General features: G+C 36.5%; 1 protein-coding gene and 2 long non-coding RNA genes across 17 annotated transcripts in view; 2 read left to right on the top strand and 1 right to left on the bottom strand.

Moving 5' to 3' along the window:
• Positions 1-15,405, bottom strand: part of RBMS3 (RNA binding motif single stranded interacting protein 3) — a 729,325-nt gene that overhangs the window by 74,768 nt on the left and 639,152 nt on the right. The gene's annotated exons all lie outside the window — the stretch shown is intronic.
• RBMS3-AS1 (RBMS3 antisense RNA 1) lies at positions 1,472-8,817 on the top strand. Its single transcript, NR_046556.1, has 3 exons — positions 1,472-1,786; positions 8,455-8,657; positions 8,782-8,817. It is a non-coding gene; the product is annotated as an RBMS3 antisense RNA 1 (long non-coding RNA).
• On the top strand, positions 9,815-13,675 carry LOC124906222 (uncharacterized). The gene is made up of 3 exons (XR_007095852.1): positions 9,815-9,899; positions 12,310-12,476; positions 13,596-13,675. It is a non-coding gene; the product is annotated as an uncharacterized LOC124906222 (long non-coding RNA).

Raw genomic sequence — 15,405 nt, 5'->3', positions numbered from 1 at the left:
AAGAGGGATAATGCTGGCCCACATGGGTTTCTGAACTGGATCTCTTTGAAGGACATATTAAAATCTATCATTGATAATCTAAAAATCGAAATTACTATTTCCCATTTGTTTTCCTCCTAACCTTTTGACCTGTTTTCTATCTATCTATATTTTAGACACAAGACAGAATACCAAACTCTGTTAGAGCTGGTCAAATTTTTATGTCCATCCACAATTTTTTTTTAAAAATAAAAGTGTCAACTTTTAAATCAGATGTTAAGAAAAGTGGATGTCTAGAATATGTCTTTTGATTTATTATCATTGTTGGGGATAAAAGAAATTACAGACATTTTAAAAAACTTCCATCCATATGCAAAGTGTCATATGGTGAGTGAAGAATGGAGCTAAGTCATTTTATCCTTCCATTTCTCTTTCTCTACCCTGCTACTTTCCTTGCAGTAATTAACTTGGAGAAGGAAAAATATTTTTAAAAAACAAACTTAAAAAGCTTGAATTGGATGGAATCTTTGAGAGTATATAATTTCAATGTTTATTTAAAGATTGTGATAAAAGTAGAAACATATTTTATAACAACCCATTTAAATACTCAGTTATGATCAAATGATTATGTATCTGAATAAATTATTTCCCTAAACATTATTTTTCTCACTGGACAGATGCATGTAGATGGCCAGATCTCGGCACCCAAACTAATTACCCACTGCGCGTTTCCTAAAATGCTTTTGCTCAAACTAAGCAATTCTTCCTGGTATTATCGAAATTCAACTTCCTGACTATATCTGTGAAAAAGATCAGGCTATCACTCTGCCTTCTCTGTGGGCTCCTCCCCATTAATTTTCAGAGATAATAGAAATTGAGCCAAATATTTGGAAATGCTTGATATACAGGGCCAGCTTTGTTCACAAAGACATTTAGGCTTTTCAGTAGGAATCAATCAGAAAACATGTCTGTTATTTTAAAGGTCTGTAGCTTGTAAATATACACAATTGTGCATTTGTGTTGTTTGAATTTCTCGATGCTTCTGTGCATTGTCATTCATCAGGATGCCTCTTAAATGAGAAACATAAGATAAGCTTTTACTTAATTATAATTCAGAGACACATCACTTTTCTTTCTGCTGCCTGAATCTTTTTAACAAAACCATCTTTATTGTTTTCCTTTTTTAAAAAATACTTACTGGCCTTCATTTCAGGTATTTGTTGTGCCAGACCAGAAGTAAACACTTTAAGAAGAACAAGGGTTCTTCTTAAATCACCTAGGGATAAATTATAGAATAACCTCAGAGTTAAGATGGAAGTCCTGAAGCATTTTTTTTTTTCAACCAAAAAGTGGTACTTTGACAACATTCTAATGCTTAGCAGCTGCAAGACTTCGATTCTCTTCTTGAACTCAAGACAGGTTATCTTTTTAGAATATTTGCCCTTAGACATTCCAACATGCAGCTAAACTGTCACAATCCCAGAAACCCCTCAATTCTAAACAGCTTGCTCTAGCCACAAAAAGGATCATTCATGTAAATCAGAGATAAAAACCAAACTGCGTTTGGTAAGGATACTTTCTTCTCAATACCCTGGAGGTTGTCTCATTCCCCAGGGGTGTGTTTTTTTTAAAGGCAATATGCAGATGAGGTAGGTGAGCATGTGACAGAACAATCAAAATTCATGCATGATGAGAAGGATCGAATGCCTGCACTTGGAATTAATTTTGGAAGAATTGTCTGGTCTCTTTCAGAATCTTTTCATTGAAAGCAGTATTTGGGGACTCATTTGATTACAGATGTCATAGAGTGAGTGTTGCTTCTGTGTATAAACCAGAAACCTGACAATCAAAGGGAAAAGTAAGAAGGGATTTATCATTAATTGGAATTGTAAATAGCAACACTAGGCACAGAGTGGAAAATAATGTAAGGAGACCAGTTACTGCACATAAATGAACAGTTCTTTCTAAGCAGATCAGTTATTGCACATAAATAAAAAATAAAATAAGGATTCTTGGGGAAGGATATGTAAGAATCTAGAGTCTTGTTTGCATTCAATAAAAACATTCAGTGAAAACAATCCTACAAATTATTAAGAATACAAATTTTTTAATCTTAAGGGAATGGAAGAAATGTACAGTCAGGGAGTAAACTGGAAGTAACTAATAGGAACTCCTGGGAGAAATGAATTTTCTTAATGATACTTTGTCTGGGACAGACAACTTAGAGAGGTTTAGTGTTGGTTACCTACAGCAAAGGGGGAGTTTGCCAGCCACTTTGCTTATTTAAAACTACAGAATCTCTTTTGTATTGTATATGACATAAATAAATAAATACAAAAGAAGAAAAGAAAAGCCTTATGGTTAGCATGGCAAAGCCAGTATCCACAACCGTAACTTTGACTTATTAAATACACTGTCAAATCCACTCCAACTTAATATATTTAAGCCATAGGCTGAAGAGTGTTTGTGACAGATGTTGCCAACACATTAAGCATAATTTTGTTTACTTGAGATGTATAGGATGTGGTGTCTGACAGAGTTCACCTGGCAAGTGGCAAAGCAAGAAGAAACAGATTTTTCATTTTAGCATCTCTGGATGTCTGGCTTTGCTCAATGTTTGGGCTGCAAAGAAAAATATTGTACAATGCTATAATTCCACTAAAAAATACAATGACCAAACAGCTGATGGAAAGGTCTGGTCCTTTTTAGCCACTGCCTTTGCAAAACAAAGCTGCTCCCACTCAAGAGACAAAGGGTGGATCTGGTTGCCCTAGTTCTGAAATAAACAATTTTCAACAGTAATTTGGGTAAAGTTTCCAAAGATCATCATGTGTGGCGTAAATATATCTGACCTAAGGCCAGAAAAGCATCTGTGTTGTTAACCTTCTGCCAATGTTTGAAAGAAATTTGAAGTCTTTGAAAGTTCAATATTTTAATTTCCCAACTGAAATACAAAACCATTGGCAAATCAGGGAAAAGCATGTGTGGCTTCTCTACCATCTAGAGCACACATAGCTGTTTTAGCACCTATATTAATCCCAGAAGATGAACCACAATAAGAAGAACTAGCTGCATTAATATTCCTGTGATAGTATTCTAGGTCAGTGCCACCCCAACTATGGTTTGTGGATCAGTAGCAGCAGTAGACAAAAATTAGACTCTCTGGGATTAGGCCTTGAAATCTGTATTTTAACAAGCTCTCCAGGTGATTCTGATATACTCTAAAGTTTAAGAAGTATGCTCTGTCTAAAAACTGCTATCGTATAAAGCCAGTGTTACAGTTCTTACAGGCAAACAAGTGGCTTTATTTTATGTACGCTGTTTCTCATTTATTTGTTTGAATCCAGTCTTTTTACAGGCCATGGTCTTTTATGTGATAATCACATTATATCTTGTTAAAAACATTCAAAGGGGCTAAGCCTGCATTTTTGATGGGCTGACCTAGAAATATTATCTGAATAATCACACCATATAATCACTGAATAAGTGTGATGACCTGACATGCTTCAATTTGATCAGTTTGGCTTCTATTATAACACATTGGGAATCCTTCATATTTGGAATCTTAGTAGCCTTGCATTTGAACTCATAGAAATGGAAAAACAAAAATAAAATTATTTGGATAAGTGAAAATTAAAAAAACAGCATCCCTTTTTTTCTGCTGTCTTATCTAAATGCCTCAAGTCAAAATGTCTGTGATTTGTATTATACGATTGCCTATAGTTATTCACACAAAACTATATATGAATTTTAAAAAGGTGGTTTTAAGTCACTATTTCATTATTCTTTTATTCATGTCTGATTTTTGCCAGTTTTTAATATTCCTAGAACAAATACCTAATAGCAACAGAGATCTCATAATATAAATGGCATGAAGGTAGCTTGAGGAATAGCTGTCCAAATGCAGTGTTCTGCAGTATTAGCATGCAACATTCCTTGTCTTGTAGTATATGTAGGGATGTCTAATTTCTTTCATTTGTTGATGTCAACTGTTTTGTTTTGTTTTGTTTTGTTTTGATGAGGGTTCAGGGTTTAAGAAAGGCTTTTGTGGGGAGAAGAAACAAAAGGAGTAAGAAATGTCTCTAATTCTTAGAAACAATCATTAATCCTTATCTACCTTGATAAATTTCCAACCAACGTAGTAGTGCAGTCCAACTTTAAAAAATTATGTTTGAAATTCAAAAGATGTGGCAAAGGTGGTAGCCTTTAACTTTGTAAGCATTTTGGAAGGATTTGACAAATGCTGGAGGTATGGGAAATGATGAATTACATGGTAAGCCAGAAGCCACACTGCCCCTAGAACTTCACTTTAGCACTTAATACCTCCTTCCCCTTTATTATTGTCTACTTGTTTCTTTCCACGTTACATCTTTCAAGAGGGAAGACATTATGTTTATACAACTTTTGTAATCTCTATAAATAGGAATTGCATGCAGTAAGTACTCAAAACAGTTTTTGTAAATTAATTTTATATATCAGTACCACTCATTTTTCAGTTCAATGACAAACTGTAAATATTTACTAATATTTCTCATTTTGATTGTTTATTCTGAAAGGGTTGAAATTATGTTGTTTTGTTCACCACTGTCTAGTGTCTATAGTGCTGTTTATAGTGTGAGGTATATAATATATGCTTTATAAGAGTTCACCGAAAGAATGATGAAAGAATAAAACTTCTAATCAAAAAGTAGTTAGTTAGAAATGTTATTTTGAGATTGCTCGTTAAAATGGATCATTACAAAATTCTTGAGAAAACTTGTTCTCCCAAGGGGCAGTTCAGTTTTAAAACCATAGTTCAACTCACACATGCGCATTAATGACATCTTCAACCACCATCCCCTTAAAGATGAAATCCAAGATTTGCTTGATGAAAAAAGTTTGACTAATGCTATATGAGACATATAAATATATATATATATATTAGAATAAAAAGTATTTGTATATGTACATATTTCATTTGTTCTCAACCAGGAGTGATTTTGCAATGTCTGGTAACATTTTTGGTTATCATAACTGCCGAGGTGTGCTATTAGCACCTAGGGGGTAGTGGTTATTGATGTTGCTATACATCCTGCAACACAGAGAACAGTTCCCCACGACAAATAATTATCCAGCAAACCCAGGATTAGTGCTAGGGTTCAGAAACCCTGGTCCATATATACATATATCCATAAGCTCCATTTATACAAAGTGAGGAAGAATTTGAAAGGCAGTAACTAGAAAAATGACACAAAGTAGGCCGGGCGCAGTGGCTCACGCCTGTAATCCCAGCACTTTGGGAGGCCGAGGCGGGCGGATCACGAGGTCAGGAGATCGAGACCATCCTGGCTAACACGGTGAAACCCCGTCTCTACTAAAAAATAGAAAAAATTAGCCAGGCGTGGTGGTAGGCGCCTGTAGTCCCAGCTACTTCGGAGGCTGAGGCAGGAGAATGGCGTGAACCCGGGAGGCGGAGCTTGCAGTGAGCCAAGATCATGCCACTGCACTCCAGCCTGGGAGACAGAGCGAGACTCCATCTCAAAAAAAAAAAAAAAAAAAAGAAAGAAAGAAAAGTGACACAAAGTATTCATCTACAGTCTGTTCCCGACAACTAATAGCACATTTTAGATCTATGGCAAGATTATGGTTATAATATACACCAATTTCCCAAATTCCATAATTGTGCAATGAAAGAAAACAGGACTATTACATGACTTCCAATGGCTTTATCATTATTTTTGAGTGCTAACTTATTTTGCTATTTATTTTGGAAATGGGGCAAACTAGAGCTGGGTTTCTCTTTCCTATGCTTGGACAGGATTAGACTAATTGGCATGATATTTGGACTACTATATGGAGATATATAGCTATGGGCTAGGGGTATAATGTTTAGAAGTAAGACATTTTCCACTGCTATATGATAAAGGTAGAAGAGATATGTACATGTACATAGATTTCCCAATAACAGAATATCTATTAATTATAAACATAGCATTTTTTTCCTTGTACTCTTAATCACACTTTTAATTTCAAGTTGATTTTTGATTCAGTAACTAGTAACTGGAAGTATTTTTTTTTAAAGTTATAATATTAATAGACACTAAAGCCAAATTAGTTTTAGCCATGGAAATCCCTTTAAAAGAATCCTAATTATGTACTACGCCTATTCAACTGTGAATAATGGTTTCAATTATTGGTTAAGTACCTATTAATATAATAGTGTCATTTTGAATGAGAATATAAAGTAAATATGTCATATTGAAGTATTTCTTACCAAAGCAGGTACATAGATAATTAGGATTCTCAATAATGCTTTATTTTAATCCTTTAGACGTTTGTGCCTAAAACTACAGAAACAAGTTTATCAGTAGCTTTTGGTGTTTTCAGTAGCTTCTTTAGAATCCTAATAGAGCAAAGTGGCTTTTAAATATATTGCATTATTGAGGGAGAGTTGAAAATTTGAGATTTTGAGGACTCTACGGTCAAAGGGATTTTGTTGACTGAATATGCAATAGGACACTTAATTATTTTGTCATTAAACTTGTACACTTGATTACAGAATTGATCTTAAGATTATAAATTTCTTACACAGATGGGTTACTATATTTTTTCCTCTTATTTTTCTACTTAAGGAGATCATAACTGCTGAGTCAATGGAAATATTAATTGTTTAGAGAAAGATCCCAGGCCACTTCAGAAGGACCTTAGAGCTTCAATGACAAAGGGTGAACTTGTGTTCATCAGCTTCTGATTCCAATCGCATAACTAATGAGTAGCTTTCAGCTGGGGGTGTCTACCACTCACAAATATGTTATGGGAGAAGAGAGGAGCAAGTGACCAGTAGCCTGGTTCAAATATGTTATGAGAGAAGAGAGGAGCAAGTGACCAGTAGCCTGGTTCAAATATGTTATGGGAGAAGAGAGGAGCAAGTGACCAGTAGTCTGGTTCATTCATAGGAGTTATTCCCCAGAATGTGGTATTTGATAAGAATTTTAGAGGACACATGTAAACTGCTGTAGTTTACATAAAAATACATGTGTTGTGGTGTAGATAATGTGAAAAAATGAGACTATTTGTGTGAAAAAATTAGTGGCATAACCATAGTCCTTAGTCTTTGCTTTGCAGGGCCCCCATGGTATATAGCTTTCCTATACAGATGTATTGCACACTCCAAAATTTATTTAAAGGAATCAAAAACAGCACAAGACAAAAAAAATCAAAGACAAAAGACTATAAAGCTATGACACTTAAAAATGAATTGATTAATCAAATATATTTCAGCTCCTTCTATACTTTTTTTAGAAAGAAAACCATTGATCTCTACCCACCAAATATATTTCATAATAAAAAATTATATTTGAAATATTGAGATTAGTTCCTAATTTTTTCTACCTTAAAAACAATATGTATATGTATGCATATATACATATATATGTGTGTGTGTGTGTGTGTGTGTGTATATATATATATATATATATATATATATATAAAATTTGAAGAGGAGCAGACCAGTTTCTCCTTATTTTTTGTTCTAAGTGGGGTTATAAGGGAAACAGTGTTAAATGACCTCCTTTCCCAAAGTGCAACCTAGAGCTGCGTTAGTTTTTCATAGTGGAAATGTCCTTTTTAAGACACTGGTACTGTTAAGTCAATGGCTATTCTACATTAAATGTGTTGGAGGAGTGTAAGAGTAGATAGGACAGTTCAGTGACAGGACAAGACATTTTTCTATTCCTGCTTGTCTTATTCAGAAACCAGTTAGAGTGAATGAGTTGTAGGGCTGCCCAAGAGCATGTGCTTTCTACTCTGTTTCAGCATTATCTCTGTCAAAAAGAGGCTTCTACAGGTAGGTCTGGGATGGCCTTGTTAGCATAGCACACATAATCTACGAGGATCACACAGCTTTCAATTTACCTTTCTAGCCTGATCCCCAGCCCATGCACATGAAGCCTCTCTTTCCACCACACTGTATTCCTCATCATTCTCTTGTCCGTCTTACCTCTTACCCTTGCTGTCTTGGCCTGCAACGCTAGGCTTCTACAGCAGTTTATATGTGTCTTCTAAAATTCTTATCAAATACTAAATTCTGGGGAATAACTCCTATGACTGACCCAGGCTACCGGTCACTTGCTCCTCTCTTCTCCCATAACATTTTGCACACACTTTGATCATGATCAAACTTTATTTCTTCCCTGAATCCTAAGTTCACTGGTATCATTAGCAATACCTTATATATTTCTTTTTTAATGGTTCTGAGCCCAGCACAGTGTCTGTCATAAAACAGATGCTTAGTTAGTGGTGCTAATGGACTGAGTGAGTGAATGGCACTTGCTCACCAGCAGGTCTCTGATGACTTTAATGGTATGTGAAACAATAACAGCAGCTCCTTGCTCAAACTGGACAAGAAGATTCAATGGAAATACCAGAAGCATTCTCTGGCCAAAAAGATGGACGTAAAAGATCCATTCATACACTTCCTCTGCTTTTCTTTGACAGTATCTCAGTCTGACCACTGCCAGCTTGACCTTCTCATTATTTAGTATGAAAATCCCAGGGCTTCTGAGAGCCACACCCCACCCAAGGAAGTTTAACATTGGAGTTCACGACATGATTTCCATTCTATGGAAGAATTATTTATGCTCAGTTAAATGCTGCAAGATGTTCTGTACATATTACAGCCAATGTGTACTGCCACAAATGTAGGTTAAGGTTTTTTAAATTAGGACTTTGCTATGCCATGAACTGTTTTAGTAGCCATATATCTGCCTGAGATTCTTGTCAAACCTTGTCATGTGATAAGAAATGCTTTATTCATTTGTACAGCAATCACTTTGTATACCTCCAAACACATTTTCAACTTACAGAAGTTTCAAGCACACATCGGATGCAGTACTCAGGCCAGCCTTCTTCCAAATGATAAGGCAAACAGGGTTCCCAGAAGACGTCTGAATATTTATGGACCTCATCTTTTGTCTGGTAAAATGTTTATCTGGGTTTAACTAGGACTCAGGACTGTGAGCTGTCATAAAACTTCTCATTAAAAACTTCTCCTTACTGACAAATAGACTGAAAGACCTGCTTGCAAATCCTTTTCAAGGTCTTGTAAGATCCTATTGGCAAATGGGCCTGGAAAATCATTGCTCAAACCACAGGGGCGATCAAGAGAAATAGCTGCCTGTTATCTTACTTATGGCCATTGTTTATAGTGCAAGTTGCCTAAATATGTCACAAGGCACCTCAATTTTTGGCTATTACTAAGAAAGTAGCTATTCCTTGTCCTGCAATTTGCTGCAAAAAGCACTTTATTTTGTGGTCCCTCAGAGAATATTTTTCTCCTTTAAGATATTTTTAGGAATTTGCCTGGTTAGGGCTGGAAACTTAACTAGATCTAAGGATACAGGTGTGAAGTCACGACCCTATTAAAGAACTAATTTACTCCTTTTAAAGCACACTTTCTATTAGTATTATTATTGCTAACATGCTTCAAACTCAGTATATACCCTATTGATGACATGTTCTGTGGTCTAATGCTGAGATAAAATATGTCCTGGTGTAACAGACATATTCTAAGGTTAAAACTTATATATTAGCATCCAAACAAGTTACATTCTGAGGCCTTCAAGATTTCAATTAATATATTTAAAACTGTCCAGATGAGATAAAAGACAGCTTTATCTTGTTATCCTTCAGTGTCCTATTTGTTTCAGGATTTGTGCAAGAAACTTAGTTACATGTTTTATTCCGCTTAGATTTTATTGCCATTTCTCCTAAGCAGTAATACTATATGATTAATTTTAACATTTTTTTTAGTTTAATAGAATGTTCTTAAACTCTACTACCTTGTTTCTTAACGTATGGCCTGGGACTGGATACTATCATCAGGGAGCTTAGTACAGAATCTCAGGTGAACCCCAGCCCCACTAAATTAGAGCCTGCCCCAGGTGAGTTATATTCACGATAAACTTTGGAAAGCTTAGCTCTGCATTTGGTCTGCCAGGGCTCTGAGTGAATTTTCTATTACATTGCTTCTAAAAAGATTCTTGGTTTGACTCTCAATCATTTTGTTAAGTCCTTTGTTTGTTCTTGCTTGAGAGCCAGATAGCTTGGAATAATATTAGTAATATTAATATAACTCCTTGTTATAAATGACAGCCACTGATATTTAGTATAGTTCCTCAATCATCTCCATACGATTTCTGCCTTTACCCATAAAATCTCCTTTAACAAAAAAATTCCCTTTCTTTTCCTATGACATATTTTCATGGCAACCTTCACACTGAAACCTCCATTCTTTCCAAATAACGTCATCTGCTTAACCAGTGAGTTAGAAATAGCTATGACAGCCAAGCATTAGAAGAGATGGTATATGCCGCATAGAATAGTAAGAGACAGCAGCGAAATATTTTGGTTAGCTCAATATACATACCATAAAAATAAGGTGTTAGAAGTAAAATTCCAAAATATTCCCGCTTGTTAAGACTTGATTAATCAAAAGTGCTATAATTAGTTTAAAAATTAAAGTTTTAAAAAAGTCTTTCTTGCCTTGGTGTTTCTTCTGAATTCATGATCCAAATTTCCAACTACTGACCGAATCCCATGTACCTCAAAACTACTATGTCCCGCTCTGAATGCTGTCTTCCTCTTTCATTCTCAGAGTATTCTTTCTTCTCTGCTCGATTCTCAGAATAACAAAGAAACTCCTAAGTCATCTTGATCGTTTCCTTCTCCCTCATCAGCCATAAAACTCAGTCAGGAGTCAAGTCTTGTCAGAACATCACAAATTCCTTTAAATCTGTTCTCTCTCTCTCTCTTTTTTTTTTTTTCTTTTTTTCCTGAGATGGAGTTTCGCTCTTGTTGCCCAGGCTGGAATGCAATGATGTGATCTTGGCTCACTGCAATCTCCGCCTCCCAGGTTCAAGCGATTCTCCTGCCTCAGCCTCTTGAGTAGCTGGGATTATAGGCATGCACCACCACACCTGGCTAATTTTGCATTTTTAGTAGAGACGGAGTTTTTCCATGTTGATCAGGATGGTCTTGAACTCCCGACCTCAGGTGATCCGCCCCCTGGCCTCCCAAAGTGCTGGGATTACAGGCGTGAGCCACCATGCCTGGCACTGCTCTTTCTTTAAGATCTCTTATTTTGACCAGTCCAGTTGCTTCTTGTGGTGTACCTCTGCCATTCATGGATGTAGAAATTTATTTTTTAATACTCTCTTCAGATGTCATTAGTTTCCCCCAGTGTGAATCCTACCTCTTCAATGTAGAATTGAAAAAAAAGAAAAAAGAAAAAAGAAAAGAAAACCCTTCTAAAAACATTTCCTACACCCTTTTGCTGCTAGATATAGATTTGTGACTTCTGCTAATCAAAAGCACCTGCAAGGGAATTAGAGTTGAAAGACAGATTAAAATAATAAATGAGCAAGGAATGTGACATCCATTTTTCCGGTGGGGTTGTGGCAAAAGTAGCAAAATTTCAGTGTGCAGCAATGGCAACCATTTCCTTACCAGAGCAGAGTGGAATGGTTTGGGGGACAGCAGTGACAGTGGTACCCTTTGGTCATGTAACAGGGTATATATAGAATTGTATTGTGCAAGAATATTCGGCATTTATTTGCAATCAGTTTGTCTGTTGCAAAGATTTCTTTTTCTATAGCAACTATATGAAATAAAACTGTATGTGAATTTTATTGTTTTTAATTTATTTTCAAAGGCAGATGGGGTGGGAAACCAAACTATTATAATTACATCAAAAATAGTTTATTAAGATGTCTTTATTTTTCCTCACTGCTCCTTTAACAGGAACAAATAGGACTTTATGTCTACTAATTGGTATTCACATTTGAAATATTTATCATTATGTGGCCTTGGTGACATAGCATTTTTATATTACCTTACAAAACTTCTATAAAAAAAAACATGGGGATGCAAATATATTAAAGAAACTTATTGCAAAAACACGTTTTCTGACCTCTCAGCCTCCAGTTAAAATTATACTGATGTATTAAAGTTATCCAAAAGAAAATTATTCAGAACCAGTTTTTTTTTTCTGCCATTATTTTTTCCTAGCACTCCCTTTCTTTTCTCATAGATTACACATGGGATAGGCAAGGAAATGAACGGTCAGCAAAATCAGGTGACTTGACAACTGTCAGAGATTTTTAACACATACTTTTGCTTTATTTCATGCAAGAGCAAGCCTGAAGCCATCTGCCCACCAACAACACATCTTTCATTCCTATTATAGAGACAGAACCCCCCACCTCATCATTAAAACACAATCTTCAAAGGCACGTTGTTTTTGCTTATCCCTATTGTGACAGATGTTTTATATCATCTATCCCCATGTGCTAGTTTATCTGTGATGGACTGCCCACTCTTTGCAGCCAGCTGTGGAAATAGCTCCATTGTCAACTGTGGCCACTCTCATTCCATTCCTGTGACTTCACTGAAGACCACATCCAACAGCAAGAAAAACAAACAGCCCTGATCACTTCCTTGAAAACATGTTCAGGGCGGAGGTAGGCTGCCTCTAAACAAGCTCTCTTTATGATGTATGTTACAAGGGAGAGGCAATCTTATTTGAAACCCTCACAGGTCATCGAGTTAGCCAATGGAGGTAATCCCTAGATTAAGGGATAATGAAGCAATAGCATCTGTGGGCATGATTCAGGTGAAAACATCTGGTTGACTCAGTACCACTTCAATTAGTTTGAGTATGCATCAATCATTTATTTTCTTTTCATTTTATAAAGTTCCCACGAGGAAATGTTTACACCGCCAGCTTATCCAAGTCTTTGAAATACTGTGAAAAGACTATAACTATATTGTTTTAAATGGATAGACAATCAATGTGAATTCTCTGTGGTAGAATAATACCCTGATATTAGGATATATTTTTAGAAACAAAAATTGATCTGTTTTTAAAGAAGTCTATCTTAGCTGGCTTGAAATTGATAAAGCAATACTTTTAGTAGTAAGAATTGTGTCAACTTGAAATACTGAGGGGGTACTCAAATTATAGTATATATGCCAAACCGTCTGCAATGTTAGAGCCTTCATAACTTTTTAAAAGATATTTTGGTACTGTACAGTGTTTAGAATAAAGAATATTCATTAATTCATCCATTCACGAATGCTGAGTTTCTATCTTTTTTCTTTTTTTTTTTTTTTTTTTTTGAGACGGAGTCTCGCTCTGTCGCCCAGGCCGGACTGCGGACTGCAGTGGCGCAATCTCGGCTCACTGAAAGCTCCGCTTCCCGGGTTCACGCCATTCTCCTGCCTCAGCCTCCCGAGTAGCTGGGACTACAGGCGCCCGCCACCGCGCCCGGCTAATTTTTTGTATTTTTAGTAGAGACGGGGTTTCACCTTGTTAGCCAGGATGGTCTCGATCTCCTGACCTCATGATCCACCCGCCTCGGCCTCCCAAAGTGCTGGGATTACAGGCGTGAGCCACCGTGCCCGGCCTCTGTTATATCTTGCTGTGAAATAACTGAGAGATAAATTACAGTTAAATAACTTTAACAAGCTATAATAGAGTAAGTTTCACAAATGCAATATAAAGTAATCAAGGAGATTACAATTTTCCACAAAAGTAAACATTATTGGAGATGCCATGTCATTTTCTGTCTTTTTTTTAGTCTGAAATTTTCACTGGGTGATGCTACTACCACTCAACTCCTAGAGTCACAGTTGAGCCACAAGACTTGCATCTCCCACTGTAAGTTAAGGGACTGTCTATGTTGAGCAAGCCTGGATGTTTTGCTTCAGCAGGAGGCTCTGGGTCCCCAGGAATAAGCCTGAGATCACTGAGTATCAAGCTGAAAAACATACTGTAGGAAGGAAATAACTCTAAAATATGATGAAGGCTTGTAGACACACCGGATTGCATCTAAAAACATGGCTCAATTGTTATCTTAGTAATCAAGAACAAAAATACCTCTATCTTTACTGAGACCCTGAAGTCTCAAGGCATGGATGGCTCATCTCTGAAGAGTTGGCTATAATTACATTTCGGTAATTCCTGTTGTTAATCACAGCTCATTATAGGGAGAGCCCTCTTTCTCCTTAGCTCTGATCAAGGCCAGTTGTCAACTCACTGGTTAATTGATTGGTAATATTTTATTGTGTCATTCCTCCTGACTATTTTTGCTGCACCCCCAGCCCCCCCACCCCCCTGCCAAACAGTCTGTCAGTTGATAGCTTTTAGAATTTGTATGGCAATGGGATAGCAAATTCAGCTAACCCACATATTCTGAGTGGCTATTCTGACTATAGTGGGTATTTTATAAAGGGTTAAAAAAAACTAAACCAGGTGCTGCGGCTCGATGTCTGTAATCCCAGCAGTTTGGGAGGCTGAGGCAGGCAGATCACTTGAGGTCAGGAGTTCCTGACCAGCCTGGTCAACATGGAGAAACCCTGTCTCTATTAAAAAAACAAAAAATTAGCCAGGCGTGGTGGCGGGCGCCTGTAATCCCAGCTACTTGGGAGGCTGAGGCAGGAGAATCACTTGAACCTGGGAGGGAGAGGTTACAGTGAGCTGAGATCACGCCACTGCACTCCAGCCTGAGCAACAAGAGTGAAACTCCATCTCAAAACAACAACAGCAAACCAAAACAAAAAGTCAAATTATAATTCCATGATTTCTTCATAGGCTAGACCCAACAAATATTAATATCCAATGGCCTCGGTATAAGACCTTCCTTTTAAAATGTATTTTTTACACGGCACCCCCAAATGTACACAATTCAAACTTAATTAAAAATATTAAAGCTTCACTGGTTTATAATCATATCTGAGGTTTTTTTTTTTTTTTTTTTGAGACCACGTGCCACCACACCTGGCTAATTTTTTGTATTTTTAGTAGAGACGGGGTTTCGCCATGTTAGCCAGGATGGTCTCGATCTCCTGACCTCGAGATCTGCCTGCCTCCACCTTCCAAAGTGCTGGGATTACAGGCATCAGCCACCATGACCTGCCTATCTGAGGTATTTAAGTTAACTATTTTATGTATATTCATTAGGGACTTTAACGAATCAGGAAATTAGTTGTCAAAGTTAAAAAAAATTATATTCCAAGGATATATCCAAATATGAAATGATGATTTCACCCCATCCTAGTGACACAGCTATAGTGTGAACTCACATGGTTAAATCATCTATTTAGGACATTGTTTTTTGGATGAAAGTAGTAGTATGCAAAAATTTCAGAAAAACAGAAAACTTTTTATTTACCTGTGGCTTTGGAAAACAACAATAAAATGCAGTGCTTAGTTTGGCATTCTTTTAAACCTTTACATTGTGAAGAACAGTAATCATACTTTCCAATTTACTCATACTACAAAATTACTAGTAGTCAAAGAATAAATGAACTTCCCAGTTTTTCAGTTTATAGACACAAGAGGAGTAGGAAATTTGCTGGTCAATTTCAAATTTCAAAACTTACCAGCAA

Source organism: Homo sapiens, chromosome 3, assembly GCF_000001405.40.
Source record: "Homo sapiens chromosome 3, GRCh38.p14 Primary Assembly".
Lineage (NCBI taxonomy): Eukaryota > Metazoa > Chordata > Mammalia > Primates > Hominidae > Homo > Homo sapiens.
This window is presented reverse-complemented; position numbering and strand designations above follow the sequence as displayed.